This window comes from Homo sapiens, chromosome 3 (genome assembly GCF_000001405.40).
Source record: "Homo sapiens chromosome 3, GRCh38.p14 Primary Assembly".
NCBI lineage: Eukaryota > Metazoa > Chordata > Mammalia > Primates > Hominidae > Homo > Homo sapiens.
The window spans coordinates 11,449,426-11,472,981 of NC_000003.12; the positions used below are offsets into that span (position 1 = coordinate 11,449,426).

At 44.1% G+C, this 23,556-nt stretch overlaps 1 protein-coding gene across 34 annotated transcripts in view; it reads left to right on the forward strand.

Annotated features, from left to right (window-relative positions):
• Positions 1–23,556, forward strand: part of ATG7 (autophagy related 7) — a 303,957-nt gene that overhangs the window by 177,029 nt on the left and 103,372 nt on the right. Inside the window, exon 19 of one of the 34 annotated variants that reach the window (XM_047447293.1) lies at positions 744–13,436. The exons of the other annotated variants lie outside the window; for them this stretch is intronic. Within the exon in view, the coding sequence (XP_047303249.1) occupies positions 744–797 (54 nt within the window). The 3' untranslated portion in view covers positions 798–13,436. Of the gene's footprint in view, positions 1–743; positions 13,437–23,556 lie in introns of those variants that run through there. 34 annotated transcript variants of the gene reach the window in all.

Consider the following 23,556-nt stretch of genomic DNA (forward strand, 5'->3'; position numbering starts at 1 on the left):
TTCACTACCCTTGGTGGCTGTACTTTTAAGGGAATGAAAAGGAGAGAGAGATTGAGATTGAGACTGAGAGGGTGAGAGAGAGTATGATTGGTTTTAGTTAGTATACAAAGAAGCTTCTCATGTTCCATACAATGGAGTGATTCTAGAGAGAATGATTTTCCCGACCCTTCCCTTGGGTTATGGCTCGCTAAATCAAGCATCAGATGAACGCTTGGCATAAATCTAACGTGTGTATTTGGATCACCAGAGAACTATGTGGTTTTCTAATCCCGTTGTCCCAGTTAGATGCAAAGCTTCTGGAGGACAAGGGCCACACCTTTCCCCCTTTGTGCCCTCAAACACTAACAGGCGCTTTGCCATAGTACTTGGAAAAATATATATTAGTTGAATGATAGGACAAAAAAGCGGTTGTAGATGGAAAACGCATTAACTGCTGAGAACACGTTTTCATTTTGAGTTGTCTATAAGAGTTTAAGGGGCAGGGAAGCCCTGGAGTTGAAGTAAATTCAACAGCATCAAGTTTTGTGTTTGGCCCTCAATAAACTAGTCTCTCTGTACCCCTGGCAGGGGGTGGGAGGAGTCCTGGGGGAGCTCCCTTCCAAATCTTACAGGGTGGTCTGTTTCTTCTTTGGATAATAATGATGTAATGGCTAGTCTCTTGAGAACTTGCTGTGTTCCATACATTGTACTAAGCATTTATTTGGATTATCTCATTAAATCTTCACAATCACTTTATTTAACAGATGGAGAAATTAAGGCACATGGAACCTAAGTGTTCAAGGTCATGGAGCCAGTAAGTGTTAGAGCCAAGTCGTTTGGCTCCAGAGCCTGTGTTCTTAACTACTACTTTGTAGTGTCTTTCTTACATATTAGTTGGGCCTGTGTATTGCTAGTTGAATTCCTCTTCCCAGTGGCAGGCCTTCACGTGTTTGACCATGGTTTTCATGTTCTCCAAACCTCAGTTCTCTAGATTTGTACTTTGGTAGGTCATCATTTTCCACAGATCCTACCTCTTTAGGTCAGAAAATCTTGCCAGTTTATAAAGATTCTCTGGGACTAACTCCCACAAAGCAAGGTCACAAGAGATCAATGTACAAATGAAGCAGTTCAGTGAGTTTTGTCTACCATTCTCCATAAGTACATGGGAGACAACTGATGATTGGAAGGTTTGGTGTTCACCTCATGGAGCTGTGATATCTCACTCACCACACAGATCTGCTCTTCTGAGGGACCATCTTGCCAATTTCCAGAGAGTTGCAGGGATATTAAATTTTTGCACATTAAGCTTCCTCTTTCCAAGCTGCACATGGGCCCTGCTACCGTTTGTGAACAGTCTTCTAGAGTGATATAGGTTCTAGCTTTCTTAGTTAAGATCGTATTTTCTGATACCACTCCCTTGTCACTTTGCCTGAAATGAGAAACTCCCAACCTCAACTGCTTTTCTAGTCTCTTCCAATGAATGCCTTCCAAAGGGCTGGTGTCCTCCAGGGTGTATTAGTTGTTACTAATTTCATCCTCCAAGGCTGATCTGATTTTCAAGATCTGTAGAGAGACCTTAGTATATTGCCTTGCCTGTACCAAATACAGTCATTATGGCACAGGAAAATCTCAAATACCTTATTGGAAACCCAGGACAAATATTTATTTGACCTTAATGAAATGAAAAAGACATTGGATGCATACATTTAAAGAAAACCCAAAACTTTGGAATCTTTACCAAGGAGGGTATCTTTTGAAAAGGACAGGCTGGAACAAGAACTTGATAAAATAGAAGTAAAGGTTGACACTTTTTTTTTTTTTTTTTTGAGATCTATATCACTCTGTCACCCAGGCTGGAGTGTAGTGGCATGATCTTGGCTCACTGAAACCTCGGCCTCCTGGGTACAAGTGATTCTCATGCCTCAGCCTCCTGAGTAGCTGGCACTATAGGCATATGCCACCATGCCCAGCTAATTTTTGTATTTTTAGTAGAGACAGGGTTTTACCATGTTGGCTAGCTGGTCCTGACCTCCTGGCCTCAAGTGATCCACCCGACTTGGCCTCCCAAAGTGAAAGTCGGCATTACTAGCCCTGTTCAGCACATGAGACAGGGCACTGGATGGTGTCTACCTAATGATTTTCAACCCAGGGGCCCTTGGCCCAAGCGTATCACTGGTATAAAGGGCCTCTGCCAGCTAATGTGAGGGTGAGTGTGGCTGTTGTGTCCATGAGAGAACTCCTGGGAGTTCTACACTCAGCAAACGTTTGTTGTTGGACTATGAAGGCGGACACAGATTTTATACGAATTTGTAATGCTAACATCTAGCATAAGAATTGGCAACCATAGAAAATATTACGTGTATATATATGTTTATAGTCTCAAAAAAAAAAAAAACAAATTAAAAAAACCCCAGGCTGCCCTGTCTCTCTCTATCTCTCTCTCTATATATATATACGCCTTTACATACACACACACACACAGACACACACACACACAGACACACACACACACACATATACATATCTCTTAAATGAGATTCTATTTTTGTGAAGTGTTCAGAATAGACAATCCATAGAAACATAAAAACAGATTCATGGTCACCAGGGACTTGGGGGGTTGGGGGGTTGTGGGAGGGAAATAGGGAGAGACTACTAATGGGTACTGGGCTTCTTTTTGGGATAATGAGAATGTTCTGGAGCCAGGTGTGGTGCCTCACATCTGTAATCCCAGTACTTTGAGAGGCTGAGGCAGGCAGATTACCCTGAGGTCAGGCATTCAAGACCAGCCTGGCCAACACAGTGAAACCCTGTCTGTACTAAAAATACAAAAACTAGCTGGGCATGGTGGCACATGCCTGTAATCCCAGCTACTTGGGAGGCTGAGGCAGGAGAATCACTTGAACCCAGGAGGTGGAGGTTGCAGTGAGCCATGATCACGCCACTACACCCCAGTCTGGGCGACAGAGCGAGAACCTGTCTCAAAAAAAAAAAAAAAAAAAAAAAAGGAAATGTTCTGGAATTAGATAGTGGTGATGGTTTACACAGCTGTGAACATATTAAAAGCCATTGAACTGTTAAATTGGTGAATTCATGCTACGTGAATTATATCTCAATAAAGCTGTTACTTTAAAAATGAACAAGAAAGTAAAACCCATAAAAAGGTCCTCTAGGCACTTCAGCAAACAGCGTGGTAGGGAAAAGACCAAGGAGTTCTTAGCCCTGGAGGAATGGAAAACCAGTTAACATGGTTTATTCACCCAGGCCTGAGATCCATAATGAAGGCCATTTTTAAAGTTGAGTCACCACAGGCTTGAAGACTGGTTAGGATTGGGGAACTGAGGGTTAGAGAGTAAAGTAGAAGGGATGGCACTTTTCTTGATAGGAGATAATTATTGCAGATATTAGTGTTAAGACCTATTCTTTTTAGTATTTTTTTAAACACAAAGTAACACCTCCATGTTACCAGCAATATTTCACATTTCACCAGTGTTCACTAAGCACCTATTGTGTGCCAGTTCCTATCTGCTGGAAGTGCACGATTCCGTGGGCTGTAGCGAGCACAGTAGCAGTCCATTGGGCCCAATTACTGCTGACCTGAGCAATCTGTTAAAACCCGGAAAGGGTATTGGAAGCAGACAGTCCTTCCTTTCTTACCAAGCCTGGAGAATCTACAGCTCTGTCCACCACGCCTTTAGAGAGGCACACCCAAATTGGAAGATTGTACAGTAAAAAGAGGGAATGTCCAGTTCAATGTTGAGGGGGCTGAGAGTTCTCTGGGTTCCCCAGGTGGAGAACAGACGGGGGGCGTGGGCCTTGCCATGTGGTCTGAGCACTGAATGTCCTGAAAGTGTGGAAAGGCCTGTCCCCAAGCTTTAGTAACTTTTTTTCCACCTAGAAGCAAGCCAAGTAGTTTCAGAGTAATTCTCAGGGTAATCCAGAGCCATCTTCATGAAAGATAATACTAGAAAACTCAGAGGGATAAAAGGATATGCTTGCTAAGAAGATTATTTCCCGCCGTGGCTGTCCCTGCAAGCCAACAATAGCACACCCTTCGTCAGGATGTAACGAGTGAGAGAGAACAGCTAGAAAAGGGTGGAGAAGTAGGCGGGAGGAAGCTATTTAAAAGACCCTAAAGTGCTGCAGCTGTTTTGGCTAATTTTTCTCATCTCAGTGATGTTCCAAGCTCTTTGTCTTCTATGTGGGGCGACATCATTTAGCTCTCTTATGAGTCATCCTTCCCACAAATAATCTCTCTTGGAGTAGCCCTTATGAAAACAGACAATTCACATTGCATTGTGTGAATTGGCAATTGTGTGTCCCTTCCCTGGGTGGGCCATCCTGCGTCTGCCTGCATCCACACATGTAGGACTTCTAAGGCCTGAGCAAACCCTCAGTGATGGGGGAGTGCAAGGGGTGGGGGGGACATCTGGAGCCTGAAGCAGGCATGGAAAGCCACCAACAGTGTGCCCTGGTCAGCTGACTGCTCCATCTTAAAGGTTTCTGGATACCGTAGTTGTTACCTTTCCTCACAAGGGTTTTATGAGAATTATCTAGGAAAAAGCAGACATCAGAGGAAATTCCGTGTAAATAAATGTGACTGCCACTTCAAACCTCAATCTTGCTAAACTGAGCTTTTCTTTTTAGATAGTCTTTTCTTCTGTCTGGCTAGCAGGTCTGACCAGCATTTTAATTAAGGCTTCCCTAGAGAGACACTGAGCTCTTTAAGATAGAAACTAGACTGGGTATCTGCTGGTTTTTCTGCCTAGGAAAATGTACTCTAATGGGTACCTTGATTTTTACCCAGAGAAGCCCAGGGTCTCACTCTCATCCCATGTTTTTCTGGTGGAGTTGACTCCGCCCTTGGCCCATGGTTGGGGCAAGGTAGTTGGGACCCCAGGCAATCAGCACATCGTGTTTCCCTGGCCAAAATGCTTGGGTCAGAAATGGGCACATGACCCAATCTTAACCAATGAGGTATGATGAAACTTTGGCTAAGAGGCTGCGATTAGAATTTGGAATTTGACGGCATGAGTCTGGGCTGGGGCAGCCTTCTAGTGATTGTGAGTGGAGAGCCAGTTTGAGTATGGAGACCACACATGGAAGAGAGCTGAGCCTGGCTGGGCTGAGAGAGCAAGAGGATGGTCATGGTATTGTTCTCTAAGCCCAGAACCAGGCTTCCCTGAAGGTACCATTATCCCGGTCTTTCTGGGCATATGAGGCCACATTTCCCTTTTAGCTTGAGTAAATAAAGGTTGAGATTTCTGTCCCTTGCAACCACAAGTTCTGACTTGTTCAGGGGCAGCGTTTCAATCTACCTAACATCTAGCAGAATGCCTGGCAGGTAGAAGGAAGCTCAGTGTGTGTTTACTGAATAGATTCTCATTGAGTTAAACAGATGTTCATCAAATGCTAATGAGGTTAATGGCTACCATATTGGATGATACAGATATAGAACACTTCCATCATTACAGAAAGGTCTATAGGATAGCACTACTATAGAGAGGACAAACTCAAACCCTGCCTCCCAGAAGCTCTATTTTTGAGGGTTTTTAAAATATTATCAAAACTAGATAGCATAACATATGGAAAGATAGCCTGACTTACTGATTTATAAAAGTTCAGCTTTATTTCTCTCGAGTACAGTTATTTACATATAAATTCTAATGAAGGAGTTTAACAACAATTACTATACAGATAGAGTCACACATTATACAAAGTAAGGTATGCCTAAATATTCTTTTACATATGAGGAACTGGAATTTACTGGGCCTAGAAACTAAAGCAGTGTAGAATGCCTTGTTGATTTTTTGCAGCCTTTTCATGAAGCAAGTTATTGATTTTAAGTAGAACTTAACTACAGTAGTAAAGTCCTAAAATTTCTCACAGAACCTATTCCATGTCCTTACCCAGTAAGACTAGCACTTGCCACCCAGAATGATGACAATTCTAGAATAATGTGGTTTAGAGTAGTCAGTTTCTGCAGGTGATTCCTGGACATCCCAGTGCACCTGTTCTGCTTTTGCTGGTCCACATTTGGTGGTCCACTCATACCTCCTTCAGAGTAGGGCATCTGAGCCTATTCTGGCCTCCAGCATACTCATTTTGTATAAAAGCCATCCCTGTGTACAATTCCTTCTTCCGGTGACATCCATTTTTCCTAAAAGTGATGTGAGAACAACTGATCGTGAGCTTGTCCATGTATTGTTCCTTGTTGGCCTGAAAACCAGGAGCACTTGTAAGGCTGAATGGATTCTGCCCAGACCGGGGCTGTCTTAACCCCTCAGAGTTAGCCCGAGCTGGCCACAACTACATCTTCAGCCTAATATCTTTAGTTCTACAGTTATGGATCCCACCTTAATCAAGCTGATTTACTCACTGTCCCAGAGCACCTCTGACCTTGGGCTCACACCCTTCCCTACTCATCAACCCCACAGATGGTTAATTACTTCTCAAAACTTACCTCAAATACCTAACCTGTCTTATGTTCTTTCAAACCATCTAAGCCAGAAATTCTGTATCCCTTCTTTGAACCCCGATGGCATTGTCTATATTCTTGTTTTGTTGTAGTAGCTTTATTTAGATGTAATTCATATGCCCTACAACTCACTCTTCAAAAATATACAGTTCAATAATTTTTTTTAATATTCAGAGTTGTGTAACCGTCATTGTCTGTTTAGAATATTTCATCACCCCCAAAGGAAACCCTGCTAAAGAGCAGTCATCTCTCAGTTCCCCTCACACCACCCTCTGGCCCCCTAACCCTGAGCGATGACTAATCTTTCGTCTCTTCGGATTTGCGTGTTCTGAACATCTCATATAAATGGAATCCTGTAATATATGGGCTCTTGTGACTGGCATCTTCCACTTAACATGCTTTCATGGTTCATGCATGTTGTAGCATTATCAGAACTTCATTCCTTTTTAAGGCCAAGTCATATTCCATTGTAGGATCTGCCACATATTGTTTATGGATTCATCAGTTGGTAGGCATCTGGATTGTTTCCACTTTTTTGCTGTTATGAATTATGCTGCTGTGAACATTCGTGTACAAGTTGTTGTATGAAGTACACGTTTTTGTTGTTTTGGGTATATGCCTAGGAGTGGAATTGCTGTATTGTGTCGTAACTTTTTTGTTCTATTCTTTTGGCAATATGATATATTCTGATACTTAAACCCATGGTGTTTCGCTTAACACTAATACACCTTGCCTCCCCTAGGAAATATAAACCCTTGAGAGCTGAAAAGAAGCCTTATTTCTTTCTACTCCCCCCACTACCGACCACTGTGTCTAACAAAAGCCACAATTACTGTTTGGACTCAAAAATGTGACGGAAAGAAGTAGACACTTGTGAAGTTTTTTTCCTCTCTTTCTACTTTAACCCTAAACTGTGTCACATTTTTTCGCGTTCACACTGTATGTGTACCCTTTTCTGAAAGTGCTTGTCCTCTCTGAGGCCCCAGTATTGGAGGCTACTGGATGTGTAAGTAGTTGGTATACAGCACCTCTCAGGTGTGACCATTCCAAGGGAGGAGATCAGCTTCCAGCATGTCTCCTCCAGACAACAATACACACTGTCCTCCTGCTGAACAGTCAGTTGTGGAGTAATAATGCACCTCTGCAAGGCTTTGCAGGGTTTTTACTCATGTATCACCAAGGATGAAAATGGGGCAGGACACAGTAGAAGCCGTTAAAAGGAAATTATGTCTTCTTGCCTTTTCTCCCTTGATCAGACCCTAAGAAAACAGCTTACCCAAATGAGCGGAAAGATGCCAGGTTTATAAAATGGAGTCTAGCAGCTGTCTTTGGTTCTACCTTGGGATGAGGTTAGAAGTATTGTTTCCCAAACTCTTGCGGCGGGAAGATCTGTACTAGGTGGGACTGCCGGTAAATCACTGGGGAGGAGAAGCAGCTGCTGTGAACTGAGTGGTGTGGCAACTCTGGCTTTTGATTCCCCAGCAGCAGATGGCAACTTTGAGTAATGACACACACAAGATAGAGGCTGTGCTTCCTTATCTGAAATGGGAATTTCAAGTGAAAGATAACTGGAGTCTCTTCTTGGGGCATAATTGATCTTTCATGAGCCATTATCCAGGGTTTTTACAGTACCTACAAAAATTGTTCTGTACCCAGGAGTTCAATAAACACTAAATGTGTGAAAGAATTTGCATTCTTTGCCTCCGGATCAGGGGGAAACATTTCCGGAACATACATTAAGAACTTCAAATTGCATAGCATTTAGTAGGCACAAAGTGACTATACTAGTTAAGGGGTGACAGATCAATTTCAATTTGTGTGCCCCTCGCTTATGGGTGTTTGGAGGGTTGTGTTGGGAAGGATTGCTGAGGCCAGTTAATAAATAAATTAATACATTGGTTATGTCTGTCATGAACACCTAAGAGACTGTGCAGTGGTAGCGCTTGTGTTGAATATTTTCCCTAGACCTTGAGCTCCTTGAAGGGCAAGGACTGTGTCTTAGATAATATACCCTCAGGACCGGACCTAGTGCATTGCCTGGTATGGAGGAAGTAACCGGTAAGTATATATTGGTTGAATGAATGATTTGATTTCCTAGTTTTTGGAATTGGCCCATGATTCTAAGTGAATGAGCTCACCTCAGATGCCTTAATAGTAAATGAAATTTTGCAGCAGAAATATTTTCTAAAATACATTGATTTTTATGGAACTAGTGTCTTGTTTTCAAAACAGCCCTCTGTTTTGCTACAACAAAACATTTCAAGAGTTTCAAATTTAAATTGGCTACTCAAAGCCAATTTCTTCATTTTTTTCCTATCTCAGTGGTCTAGAGGGGCATCTTGGTGTTTTAAGTGGAACACAGGCTTAGAAGTCAGACTTGGGTTTTTTTGTTTTGTTTTGTTTTGATGGGGTCTTGCTGTGTTGCCCAGGATGGAGTGCAGCGGCACCATCTCCGCTCACTGCAAGCTCCGCCTCCTGGGTTCACGCCATTCTCCTGCCTCAGCCTCCTGAGTAGCTGGGACTACAGGCGCCCACCACCACGCCCGGCTAATTTTTTGTATTTTTAGTAGAGACTGGGTTTCACCGTGTTAGCCAGGATGGTCTCAATCTCCTGACCTCGTGATCCGCCCGCCTCGGCATCCCAAAGTGCCGGGATTACAGGCATGAGCCACTGCGCCTGGCCTAGATTTGGGTTTTACTTACAGCCAGCTCAGCTATTAACACATTGTGTGACCATAGCTAGTTACTTCTCCATGCTGGAACTCAGTTCCCTCTAAAAAATTGGAGAACTGAAGCAAATGAGCTCTGTAATTCTATGAAAATAAACGCACAGGATAAAAAAAGAGAACTTGTTTCAACAAGATAATTCTCTGTCTTTGGCCTAGTTGAGGGGTCCCCAACCCCCAGGCCATGGACCAGTACTGGTCCGAGGCCTGTTAGGAACCCGATCGCGCAGCTGTAGGTGAGCGGGGCAAGCGAGCATTAACGCCTGTGCTCTGCCTCCTGTCAGATCAGCGGAGCATTAGATTCTCATAGGGGCGGGAACACAATTGTGAACTGTTCATGCGAGGGATCTGGGTTGCCCGCAGCTTATGAGATTCTAACACCTGATGATCTGAGGTAGGACAGTTTCATTCATCACCCCCCCATCTATGGAAAAATTGTCTTCCTCAAGACTGGTCCCTGGTGTCAGAAAAGTTTGGGACTGCTGGCCTAGGCGATCACTTCTCTCATTTCAGCTTCACTTTCTGACACAGGAGCAATAATCCTAAAGTGAGGAGGGGGAGTCACTTTAAAAAAAAAAAAAAAACAGCAAAAACATCAGTCATTATGGTGAAATGTCAACACAGTAAGTCTTTTCTAATATCTCTGCAGAATGCTACATGAGATTTGCCCTGATTCATAGATGGCTATGGTATGTGTAATACATAAAAATATAATGTATCATCTCAGACATATGTCTTGGCTGACATTCAGCACCAAGAATCTGACAAATGTTTTTATATTTATGTACATTCTGCCTGATTTCAAAAACAGATTTAAGATAGCTATACTCAACATCATAGAAATAATTAATTCTGGACGTCTTTAGAATGAGAATAAAAACAGGAGCCAAGTGTTTTTTTTTTTTTAAGTGATTATGTTAGGAAACTTAAACTCTGAGAGCTTCCAAAATTCAACATGAATTGTAACTTCATGGTTCCTGGAAGCCAGAGCCAACAGGGAAGTAATGGGCTGCCTAGCTCTTCTTGTCTGATAACAGCCAGAGTAATGGGCTTTGTGGGGAAAAGGAAATATACTGGCACAATTCTACCTCAGGCCTGTTCTGATAGCCTTTTGTCGAGGCAATAGCCATTCGTTCATAATGAAACCATTGAATTACAAACAAGAGTGGCAACATAGACCAAGCCTTATTTGTTTGTGGGGATTTTACTAGTTGTTTGGTAGACTTTAGCCAGGCCACGTATAGTAACAGTAGATGATGCTTAATGTGCCAGATGCTATTCTAACCGTATTAACATATTAAAAATCCTTACAAGAGCCCTGTGTGTTAGGAACAGTGCTTTGGGGTCTGTGCTCTTATCCACTGCACCATACTGCCTCTTACATGTCTCAAATCGTACAGAGATTTATCTTACTGCAGTCACACAGCTCAGCATCCCAACTCTGGGTGATCTCAGGAAAGAACATCTCATTTAAAGCAATAATAACCAGTTTAAATGTAGGCAGCCTCAGTGCTACATGACCAACCAGATGGATCAGCTGTTTACTTATTGAGTCCACTGGTTCTTTTGGCGTTGTTTTAAGGTGGCTTCTTGAATGTTAAAGGAACAATCTAGGCTCTATCTGAACCTCCTTTTGCATCTTTCATTGGTGACATGAGGAGCATACATAGGCCATGTGTCCTCTTGTCCTTCGGTATCTTATCTACCTTTGGGCTGCTAAATATGCCAAATCAGCTTCTCTTGTGTGCCAGCTCACTCAGCAGGGGTGGCTGCCTAGAAGACTGTGTTGAGAAGGGCTCTCAGGCCTGGCTCAGATGTCGTGAGAGAAGGGGTCATGACTGAGCAACAATGCCTGATGTGGGCAAGGGAGAGGGTAGCACCAGAGCGTTGCCTTTGCCAGCCATGGCCTAGTTCAAGATGAGGGCTTGCCTCTATGCTGCATGGCTTCTGAGGTTATTTTCCCTCAGAGTACTTCCCATTCAAGAGGAGAACAGAATGTAGCAATTCACAGAATTCATTCCATAAAAATGAATTCCCTCCCTGTACAAGACACACAATAGGAAGATTAATAAGTCAAAATCCCTGCCCCCTCCCAAATTTCATCCCAGTCAAGGACATATAAATTTTGACAAATAATATCTATACAGTGAGATAATGATTATTCTTATAAAGTACTGAGGGAACACAAACAAAAGAGTCACTGTCTATGCCTGGTAAGGGCAGACAGGTCAGGCTGCATGGAGAAGGTGCCAGTTGACCCTAACCCTGATTCCATCCATGTGTATGGAGCCCAGAGGGTGTGTGTTTTGAGAACCACCTGGTATGACCAACATCCTCAATATGTCTTTGCAACCTTCCTTTTCAGAATATATACAGTACCACCAGTAGTAAGTCATCTTTTTGGAGTCTTGATATAATGACACACATGAGAGAATGGATGAATCCAATCTACCACAATGGGTCAATATTTTAGAATTTTAGCTGTGGCAAAGACCTTTAGGGAAGGCAAAGGGTGGGGCAGGGTTTGTGGAAGCCATGGATATAGGGTGTCAGTGCTGGGCAGGTTGAATAGACTTTTCTAAAATGAAGTGGAAAAATAAGAAATGCAGAGACAGCCTGCACTGGCATTTTACCCAAGGCCATTCTGTGTCCCTTAGGAAATGTGTTCTTTACAGGGATTTGAAAACTATAGGGAATAGTGATTGGGGTCAGAAATGGCATCACTGGGGCTAAGAAACCAAAGATAAAGTCACTTTGGAGCTAACCTTTGTATTCAGAGAGCTTTGTCCTAATCCTGCTTAGAATTTCCACGGCGTCTTTTCTTCCCTTAAGAGAAATCAAAAGGCTTTCACTTTTCCCCTCTCTGCCCTGTGAAGACAGGCATTCAAAACCTCGTTTTGCAGGTTAAGGAAATTGAGTTCATGGTCTAAGATCACAGTGAATTGAACAGACTCAAAAGCAAGCATTTAATCTCTCTCACTCTCTCTCTTAAATGTAGTTCTTAGAATGAGAATTCTTAGTGGTTTTAAGAAAATGGTAATGTTTGTACTATAATTAACCCCCAGAAACAGAACATCAAAACCAAGACACTTTGGCAATCGTCTTATCCAATGTTCTCATTTTAAAGATGTGGACTCTGGGCCGGGCGCAGTGGCTCACACCTGTAATCCCAGCACTTTGGGAGGCCGAAGCGGGCGGATCACGAGGTCAGGAGATTGAGACCATCCTGGCTAAGACAGTGAAACCCTATCTTTACTAAAAATACAAAAAAAAAATTAGCTGGGCGTGGTGGCGGGCGCCTGTAGTCCCAGCTACTCAGGAGGCTGAGGCAGGAGAATGGTTATGAACCCGGGAGGCAGAGCTTGCAGTGAGCCGAGATCATGCCGCTGCACTCCAGCCTGGGTGACAGAGTGAGACTCTGTCTCCAAAAAAAAAGAAAGAAAGATGTGGACTCTGAATCTAAGGGACAACTCCAAATAACTCGAGGATATCTGGTCATTAAAACCTACTCGGCTCTCAAGGTTTCCATTTCTAACTGGAAGCCATTGCCTTCAAGAGCTGTTTAAGAGCGTCTGCCACCCTTCTAGAACTCAGTTTAAGGACTTCTGCTGGAGCCTTGGAAGGTTCAGGGCCCTCTCGTCACCATTGCTAAGGGCTGTTTTATGTTCTTTTATGAGATAGTCTGTTAGGTGCAGCCACAAGAAGGAGACACAGGAGAGGCTCAGGAAGACAAAGTTTATCGTGGTCACAAGTCCTAGAGGCAGGAGACATGGCACACCATGCAGGTCCACAGGGGAAAGACACCAGGGCAGTCAGGAGGCAGAAGACAGGAGCAAGGGGAAAGCATTAAGGTAAAGCCATGATGGGGGTTTCCTTGGAAAAGTCAAGGCAGGGCAGCGTGAACACTTTAGGGTTGGCTAGTTTGAATAATCTCAGGGGCCCTAAGCTATAGGAATGGTCCCTAGTTGACTGTACCTGGCCCTGGGATGATGAAAGCAGAGGAATTTTGCCTCTTCGGGTGTTGGGCCAGATAGAGGAGGTGTGGCTCTGAATTGGTTAGTTCGCATGTCAGAAGTGTACTCCTGGCTGGGCCCTTTGCTGGCTCTAAGAATTAACTATCCTCTCGCCACCCCCCCAGGGGCAGTCTTCCCAGCTAGAAAGGTTTTTTAAAAGATGTTCAAACATCGTAACATACATAAATATGTAACACAAGGGCCCTGGCTCCTCTCAGATATTTTTATTTATTTATTTATTTATTTATTTATTTATTTATTTATTTATTTATTTATTTATTTTTGAGACAGAGTTTTGCTCTTGTTGCCCAGGCTGGAGTGTAATGGTGCGATCTCTGCTCACTGCAACCTCTGCCTCCTGGGTTCAAGCGATTCTTCCACCTCAGCCTCCCAAGGAGCTGGGATGACAGGCATGTGCAATCATGCCCAGCTAATTTTGAATTTTTAGTAGAGATGGGGTTTTGCCATGTTGATCAGGCTGGTCTCAAACTCCTGATCTCAGGTGATCTGCCCTCCTCCGCCTCCCAAAGTGCTGGGATTACAGGCGTGAGCCACCATGCCCGGCCCCTCTCAGATATTTCTATCCATTGTCATACTCCCACTCTTTCCCTAACTACTACTGACTTCAGCTTGCAGCAGAAAATTCAGCCTTTGTAAGCTTGAGAGGACTCAGGTTGCTGACCAAAAGCAGAAGAGGCCTCCCTTCAAAATGTATGGAATGTTGCAAAAAGTAGACAGTGATCCTCAATAATCAGATACTTCCCTCAGAATGGTCTGCTAAACCTTCAGTCTTGTTGAACCAATTGGTTCAGTACTTTGTAACAGAACTTGGGAATTTCTCCACCCTGGATGGGATATTTCTTATGGCCTCCCATCCCAATTCATGTCAGCCCTTCCCGCATTTAGACTTGGTTACTTTCAACTCTTTACTCCTGGCATCATTTTTAAATGATTCAGGACTCTTGGTTTCAAGTGACATAAACCCACCTTGAATTATCATAGGTGGAGAGTGTTGGAGCATTGAACATAATGGAAAGAAAAGTTAGCTTTTTTCTACAGTTCTGATAGGAACAGGTTCTCTCCCTGCAGACTGGCGTCTTCTGCTAGACAGGAAGTGTGACTACTGGCAGCTCCAGAGCCTCATAATCCATAGCTTCAGTTGCCTGGCATGCACTGGCCCTGGACTTCTCACACCCCAAACTCTCATATGTGGGCCCAGCTGGCTCTCTTGCTCATTTTGGGACCAGTCAAGTTAGACTAGAGAGGCAGAGTCTGTAAAGGAACGTGGTTGGTGTGGGGGAAAAAGCAGTTTCCATAAGAAGGTGGTGGTCCCAGGAAGACAGGATGGTGGCAAAACCAAAGGTGTTTGTGACAAACCTGAGAGCATATCAGGAAGAGGAATGATTAAATCATTTAAGTGACAAGAGCAGGTTGAAAAACAACAGGTGTAGTATGCTTTTGTAAAAAAATTGGCCAGGCATAGTGGCTCATGCCTATAATCCCAGCACTTTGGGAGGCCAAGGCAGGCGGATCACTTGAGCCCAGGAGTTTGAGACTAGCCTGGGCAACATGGTGAAACCCCATCTCTACAAAAAATACAAAAATTGGCCAGGCATGGTGTTATGCACCTGAAGTCCCAGCTACTTGGGAGTCTGAGGTGGGAGGATTGCTTGAACCCAAGAGGTCGAGACTGCAGTGAGCCATGACTTGCACTACTGCGTTCCAGCCTGGGTGAACGAGCAAGACCCTGTCTCAAAATTAAAAATTAAAAAATTATGTATTCAGTAAATCTTTTCTAATTGACTTTCCATTAATGGAATGTCCCAGTTGGTTAACTCCGCACCCCCTCGGTAAAGTACGGGGGGAGGCTGAACATTCTTAGCTGGCAGCCTGGTTCCTAGGACACCAGCACACTTCTGCTCCCACCAGCTGAGGCCTGGGCTTTCCAAGAGTCATTCTTGTTTCTTGCCAAACCTGGGAATGCCAGATGGACTTGTTGTTTTAATTATACCATTTAATTAAATATCCCCCAAACGAAAGACAAATACAGAAAGTTATTTCTGTGAAAGTCATTGCGAGTAGCTAGAAGCAGTGGCTTTTTGCAGAGGGGACAGGGCTTTTACCTTTTATTGCCGAATAGGTTCTGGAGTCTGACCCCCTATTTTCAAATTATAGCTCTACTGCTTCTTTGCTGTGTGACACCTTGGGCAAGTTGCAGAGTCATCCTAGGACTTGGCCCCTTTACTATAAAATGGAAATAGCAACCTTGTTTGGGTACTGTTAGGATTAAGTAATATAATGTATTTGAAGCACTTTGCACAGTTCTTGGGCACATAGTAAACACTCAACAGATGCCACATCTATCATCATCGTCATCAACAATCACAGCCTTATTAAAGATGTAGAGAGAAGTCATTGGCTGTAAAGGAAAAATTTTTTTTCTTATCAAATCAATCTCTAAAAACCTAAAGTGTGTGTGTGTGTGTGTGTGTGTGTAAGGACACCTCCAGAGAGTTCTAGAGCTGAGTGAAAACCTGGTTTATTAAAATGAGCCTGGGCCGGGCACAGTGGCTCACACCTGTAATCCCAGCACTTTGGGAGGCCGAGGCGTGTGGATCCAGATCGAGACCATCCTGGCTAACACGGTGAAACCCCATCTCTACTAAAAATTCAAAAATTAGCTGTGCATGGTGGTGGGCACCTGTAGTCCCAGCTACTCGGGAGGCTGAGGCAGGAGAATGGCGTGAATCCAGGAGGCAAAGCTTGCAGTGAGCCAAGATCACGCCACTGCACTCCAGCCTGGGTGACAGAGAGAGACTCTGTCTCAAAAAAAAAAAAAAATGAGCCTGTAAGTCTGGGTGCACATCTGTAATCTCAACACTTTGGGAGGCCGAAGTGGGATGATTGCTTGAGGCTAGGAGTGTGAGACCAGCCTGGGCGTGAGTGAAACCCCATGTCTACAAAAAGTTAGTAAAAAATAATAATAAAAAATAAAAATTAGCTGGGCGTGGTGGCACACACCTGTAGTCCTAGCTACTTGGAGAACTGAGGGGGAAGGATTGCTTGAACCCAGGAGGTCGTGGCTGCAGTGAGCAGTGATTGCACCACTGCACACCAACCTGGGCGACAGCGAGACCCTGCTTCAAAAAAATAAAAATAAAAAAGCCTGTAGCCCCTCTTCCTTCCCTAATATATTTGGCTTCTATAAAAATTAAAAACCCAGGGATAAGAAGAAGGGGAGAGAATTGGAAAGCCCCTGGTTAGCTTTAAGGGCCTCTCAGTGCAGCAGAACCCATGCTGGCTCTATTCATAACTTTGCTCTCTGGATCAATATTCTGAAAGTTGGTACATTCTTTTCATTTGTGTCTTTCACAGAGGGCAGTAAAATTTAGCTCTAATTATATTTAGGGCATCTGGATTCTAGTCAGCATTTTCTGGCTCCGTTTTAGAACCTAAAGTCTGCGGCTTATTCCTAATGTGGAAAATGGAATAATCCCCCAGGCATGAGAAGAACTCCAGCATTGAGGCTGCTGTTCCTCTAGCGAGAAGCTGCTGCAGACATCACAAGACTTGTTATACAAGGAAACATGATTACAGTGGATTAAAGAAACTTGCCAGGGGCTTGAAGGATTTATTGCTTTTTGAATTCTGAATGAGACATAAATATGTTTTTCCCCTCTTAATTTTGGACCCCATACGGGTAAGGTGAGAAAATTCTTCAGCAAATTCTAGAATGCTTAGCTGCTAAAGATCAGTTGGTTTTGTGTCCACGTCATATTGCAAAGGGCATGAATACTTGCTTGGCAGAGACACAAAACAGTCACTCATTTCTTTCTGTTCTGCCAAGTTAGTTACTGCCTTGTCTCCCAGTGGGAGAAAAATGTAACTCCTTGGGGACTCTTCTGGAAGGCAGCATGGTGTAATGGAAAAAGCACTGTAGTCACAGGCACGAGGCCTAGACTACAGCGTCGGTGCTTATAAGTTCCATTATTTACAACAGGTTTCTTAAACTCTGTAAGCCTTTGTGCTCTTACTGCTCTTTTCGGAAAAAGCAGTTCTCAGAGGGTTGTATGAAGGATTATAGCACCTTTATGTTCAATATCATCTATAGAAACTCAACTGTTGGATGCATTAGCATCAGAATGACAGCTTGTAGTACACTCATTTGTGTTCACAGATCTCAGAAATTTTTATGTCCTAAATGGAGGGACTTTTAAAAATAATGATGGAGCTGGGCATGGTGGCACACACCTGTAATCCCAGCACTTTGGGAGGCCGAGGCGGGCAGATCACCTGAGGTCAGGAGTTTGAGATCAGCCTGACTAACATGGTGAAACCCCATCTCTACAAATACAAAAAATTAGGTGTGGTGGCGGGCGCCTGTAATCTCAGCTGCTTTGGAGGCTGAGGCAGGAGAATCACTTGAACCCGAGAGGCAGAGGTTGCAGTGAGCTGACATCATGCCATTGCACTTCAGCCTGGGCAACAAGAGTGAAACCCCATCTCAGAAAAAAACAAAAACAAACAAAAAAAACTGATGGCTTCTTAACCCTATCACTTCTGCAGATTCTTTGGTTTCTCAGGAAGCCAAAGAGATAGCATGGGGCAGTGGTTAGTAACAACTCTGGAGTCAGACCAACCTGAGTTTAAATTCACTACTTATTAGCTGGGAAGTCTTTGAACAACTCACCTAACCTGTTGTTCTCATTTTCCTAATCCGTAAAATGGACATAAAATATTACCTCAACCGTAATTTGTTTTGTTTCGTTTTGTTTTGAGATGGAGTCTCCCTGTGTCGCCCAGGCTGCAGTGCAATGGTGCGATCTCGGCTTACTGCAACCTCCGCCCCCCAGCTTCAAGCGATTCTTCTGCCTCAGCCTCCCGAGTAGCTGGATTATAGGCATCCACCATCGTGCCTGACTAATTTTTGTATTTTTAGTAGAGGCGGGGTTTCACCATGTTCGCCAGGCTGGTCTTGAACTCCTGACCTCAGGTAATCCACCTGCCTTGGCCTCCCAGAGTGCTGGGATTACAGGCGTGAGCCAATGCGCCTGGCCCTATTTTTTTATTCCTTTGTCCTGTTTCCTATGTGGGACTTATCACCGTTTGGCATTATTATTTATTTGTGTTCTGTCTACCACCCCAGCCCCACTCAAATATAATCCCCATAAAGGCAAAGACATTATATGTCTTATTTACTGCTTTATATGTCTTGCCTAACAAAGTAACTGGTACATTATTGTTACTTAATATTTTTACCTTTGAATTTTTTTGCCAAAATAATACAGAATTAGAAAGAATTCCTCCCCCAGTGTCATGGCTAAATTTATATACAGTAGCTGACTTGGAAACTGGGCAGAGTTGTTTTGCGTTTGGAAATACTGGTGTTCTTACAGTTGAGTTTCTATTTCCAAAAGATGCTTACTCAGCCTTTGATGGCACAGTTTGACTTGTGACATCAGAAGGTTGACAGGCAGAAGTCTGAGTCAGAAATTCAGCTATAGAAGAGCGTGACTTTCATCCCTGCTCGCCCTTTGAGGTATGGCTGGACACAGCTCAGAAAGGTCTTGGATTTCAATTTGTCTAGGAAGGTATTTAGCAAATTATTTTTACCATTTGGATTTTGGTACCAATCACCCGAGGAATCTGCAGTCTCTGCGTAAGTGAAGAATGAGAATGGAAGGGGTAAGTGGAGCTAGTGGGAGAGCACAGGCCAGCCCGCCACTTCCCTGGAAGAACTGATGGCTTTTTCCAAGGCCTGGATCATGCCTCGCCTATCCTCCTCCCCACTCCATGTCCCCAGTCCATCCTCTGACTTTTATTTACTTACCACCTTGGAAGTCATAAGATTCTGAAGTTTTCCACAGCTGCTGGGACTTAGGCACTGGGCCACTGAGGACAAGCTGACAGGTCAGTGTTTGGGCTCTGGATTTCACATCATTCATTAGCCCTCTCGATCCCCACAGAGAGGGACGTTCATGCTATGAACTGTGTCATGGAGAAAACACAGCCCTAGAAAGAGGAACTCTTGATCCCCCACTACTTCATTCTTTCAAGCCCTGTGACCTGTTCCTCTAAATGCCTGTGGGACCACAGGTGGGCTTGGGATGGGGATGCTTCCTGAATGCCCAGGGACTGTACGCAAAATGTTACGTGTGTGTATTATGGGCAGCCAGGGAGGCTCGGTTTCATCAGACTCTCAACAGATACCATCTTTGGTCTAAAATAGATTTGGAACCATGACCCTGAGTGGACCTAATGTATTTTTGTAATGTTTGTAGACTGCACATTTGCCCCTCTGGCCCTCCAGGCTGTGTGTGGGCAGATTGAGGATGGAAAAGCTGAAGCGGTGCACAGCTGCCCAATCTTGTTGGGTTGTTGCATGATGGCTCTCTCATCTCTTCTTGAGTTTGCTTATTTACACAATTAAGCTAGGCCCATTGTGAATCAAGTCCTGACCTGTCAACAGAAGATGAGATGGTTGAAGAGGGTAGCAGGCAATTCTGTGAACAAAATATAGCTATAGATCTGGCTTTAAGAGTAAAATAAGGCCGGGTGCAGTGGCTCATGCCTGTAATCCCAGCACTTTGGGAGGCCGAGGCAGGTGGATCACCTAAGGTCGGGAGTTCAAGACCAGCCTGACCAACATGGAGAAACCCCATCTCTACTAAGAATACAAAATTAGCCAGGCGTAGTGGCGCATGCCTGTGATCCCAGCTACTTGGGGGGCTGAGGCAGGATAATTGCTTGAACCCGGGAGGTGGAGGTTGCGGTGAGCTGAGATCGTGCCACTGCACTCCGGCCTGGGCAACAAGAGCAAAACTCCACCTCAAAAAAAAAAAAGTAAAATAAAATCATGCCACCAACAAACCTACCTATTAGTCCACTGATTTTCTTTCCTCTGTGACAAAATGTTCATCTCCATACTCTTAAAGGAGTGATGATACACTTGGCCTTTCACCTGAGGAAGTATAGGATGGGAGCTGCATGTCCCAGCTCAGGAGTATTGACGTTCCTCTTCTCAGTTAGCCCTGTCCACTGCAGCCCAGCTAATGTCTTACAGGCTATTAGAGATGGTGTACTGGGGCCAAGCATGGTGGCTCCTGTCTGTAATCCTAGCACTTTGGGAGGCTGAGGCGGGGTAGATCATTTGAGTTCAGGAGTTTGAGAACAGCCTGAACAACATGGTGAAATCCCATCTCCACTAAAAATACCAAAAAAAGTAGCCAGGCATGGTGGCATGTACCTGTAATCCCAGCTACTTGGAAGGCTGAGGCAGGAGAATCTCTTGAACCTGGGAGGCGGAGGTTGCAGTGAGTGAGATTGTGCCATTGCTCTCCAGCCTGGGTGACGGAACGAGACTCCATCTCAAAAAAAAAAAAAAAAAAAAAGAGAGAGAGAGATGGTGTACTGGGCTGTGCGTGCTTCAGCTACCCAACAAAGCACCTCTACCTTGTGCTTACAACGAAATTCAGTTAACTGTAAGATCTGGAAATCCCTGGCAAGTGAAAAGCTGCTGCCTGGTGTGAGTATGTCTTTGTTTTCTAGCAGTGCAAATTACTTCATCTTCAGCAGGAGTGTGGCACCTCTGTAGTCACACATCACTTAACGATGGGGATGCATTGTTAGGCGATTACATCAGTTGTCATAGAATGTCCTTACACACCCTTAGGTGGCATAGCCTGCTACATACTTAGGCTATATGGTCCAGCCTATTGCTGCTATGGTGGAAACCTGGATGGCTTGTGAGTGTACTGAACACTGTGGGCAACTGGAAAACAATAGTAAGGATTTGAGTATGGAAACATAGAAAAGGTACCACACAAATGTGGATTTTGTAATCTTATGGGGCCACCCTCATATGTGCAGTCCATTGTTGACCGAAACGTCATTATGTGGTGTGTCACTGCTTACTGAGTGCTGATAACATGCCAGGCTATGTGCAGGGTGCTCTACAAAATCTATCATGTTTCATCCTGTCCTTTTCCTGAAGTAAATGTCAGCATTCCCATTTTACAGATGGGGAAGTTGAGGCTCAGAGGTGTGTCAGTGAACAGGTCTAAGAAAATGTGTGGGCTGACATAATGTGAGGGCCACAGGGGCCACCAGAGGACATGGAGTAGAGGCCTTCCCTGAAGGGCCTCGGGAACTGAGCCGAGCCAGGAGAGGAGATGGGATTTAGGCTGAGGAGAGAACACTTGGGAGGAGCTCGGACTCCAAGTCTGAGGAAGGCACCGGCATTTATTACTTTCTTGCCGTATTACTCTCGTTCAGTCTTTCTCCTTTGAGGTGCAGATAGTCCCCTTCTCCAGAATTATTCTCCAGTCATCTGCATGGGATTTGTTTTCAGTGTTTTTTGAATTAGAACTGTAGACACTTCCCTCCTAGCCTGGCTTTTCTCCATCAAACTCCCCATAGCCATTTCTCATTGACTAGAGCAGGCCCTAGCGAGCCCAGCCCTTAGTCTCTGTCCCCTCCAGGCTACCCTCCATGGTAGCAACCAGGCGGCCCTTTTGGAAACACACATATGAATATGTTACTCAGGGACTTCCAAAGGCTGGCTAGCCTTTGCTTCAGAATGAGATCAGCTCTTCAGCATGGCAGCGGCAGACAGCTCCTACCGCTGGCCCCAGCTTCCTCTCAAGCTGGCCCTGGCGCTCTGGACTCCTCACACTTCTGCCTGGCAAACACCTACTTGGTCTTCAAGCCTTCATTCTTCATAGAGGCTACTTGGGTTCTGCCCCACACCTGTCACCTGAATTGTCATTATGTGTGAGCTCCTTGAGAAAAAATATATGACTTGGTCATCTTTATACCCTCAGTACCTAGCATAACACCTGGCATGTAGTCAGCACTTAGTAAAAACATTTAAAAAATTTTTACTGTCTCCATTTTGCAGATGAAAATAAGAAACTTTAAATGAATAAAATGTTTGACTCTTGGGGTCAAGGCCATAATAATTAGAAAGTCTCCTTTCACTGTGTGTTGTCTCATTTATATTCCCCAGGTGATGGTCAAATGGTATAAGAAATGCAGGTGGCTCCCCAGTCTCGGTGTCTCACATATTCCAACTCTTTTTTTTTTTAGAACTCAGAAAAGTACTTCATAGATTGGCTTTTTAGATTTCTTTTTTTTTTTTTTTTGAAATGTAGTCTCTATCGCCCAGGCTGGAGTGCAGTGGTACAGTCTCAGCTCACTGCAACCTCTGCCTCAGGTTCAAGCGATTCTCCTGCCTCAGCCTCCTGAGTAGCTGGGATTATAGGCGTGTGTCACCATGCACAGCTAGTTTTTGTATTTTTAGTAGAGATGGGGTTTCACCATGCTGGCCAGGCTGGTCTTGAACTCCTGACTTCAAGTGACCTGTCCACTTGGCCTCCCAAAGTGCTGGGATTACAGGCGTGAGCCACCACACCTAGCCTTTTTCAGATAATTTCTTCAAGATTAAACTCTACAAAATTATTATATTAGTCTCTTTTGTTTGGAGGTTAGACTCTCACACAGATTTAAGCAAACATGAGAATGTATTTGTTCTTAAACCTGAAAAATTCATGGAGAGTTCTAATGTAACCTCCACTAGATCCAAGTTTTTAAAAATGTCAATAGCAAACTTTCCATCTCCCCCTCTTGCCTGGGTTTTCCCTGTATCGCTTCATTTTTAGGCAGGCTCTTGCCTCCTGCTAGCAAGATGGCAATTGGTAGCTCCAGGCTTACGTCCCCAAGCTTAGTGACTCCTGTGGAAGGAGAGCGTTGTTCCCAATGGCACTAGCTAATGTCCTGCTTGACTCATCCACCAGTGACCCTGTCACTATGGTAGAGGAAGGGGGAACTGTAACTCTTTTTGGTCGGATCTGGGATATATTCTTATCTCTAGGGTTAGGGGTGGAATAGTCCCACCTAAGTCACATAATCTGAGAGCCAGGGAGAAATTGGTGAAAAATTAGAAAACCGGTGAGTTTATCAAAGGGCTGAGCAAGCAGAGCAACAGATGTCCACTGTGGTTATCTTACCTTTCTTTTTTGTTGCTAATACGTCTGTTATTTCCTAGAATGGTATGATAGACCCCAAGCAGGTGGCTTGTGTCGTCCTTTTTTGGTAAATGCCTACCTCCCAGGACTTTTGAAAATGGTTCAACTGCTGTCTTTGACTTTTTTACCCCAGCCTTTGTGATTGGTCTGATAGCTCCAGTGTTTGTGCTGGAGACTTGGAATGCCAAATGCGCTGATTTGCACACCGTTTTTCATGAAATCTTATTTTTCTTGATAAGATCAGGGAATCCTTAAAATTCCCAGTGGTTTTGAGCTAGAATCCTATTGTGAGTTCTCTGATATTACATAGATTTAAAGCAAATGCATTTTTCAGGAGC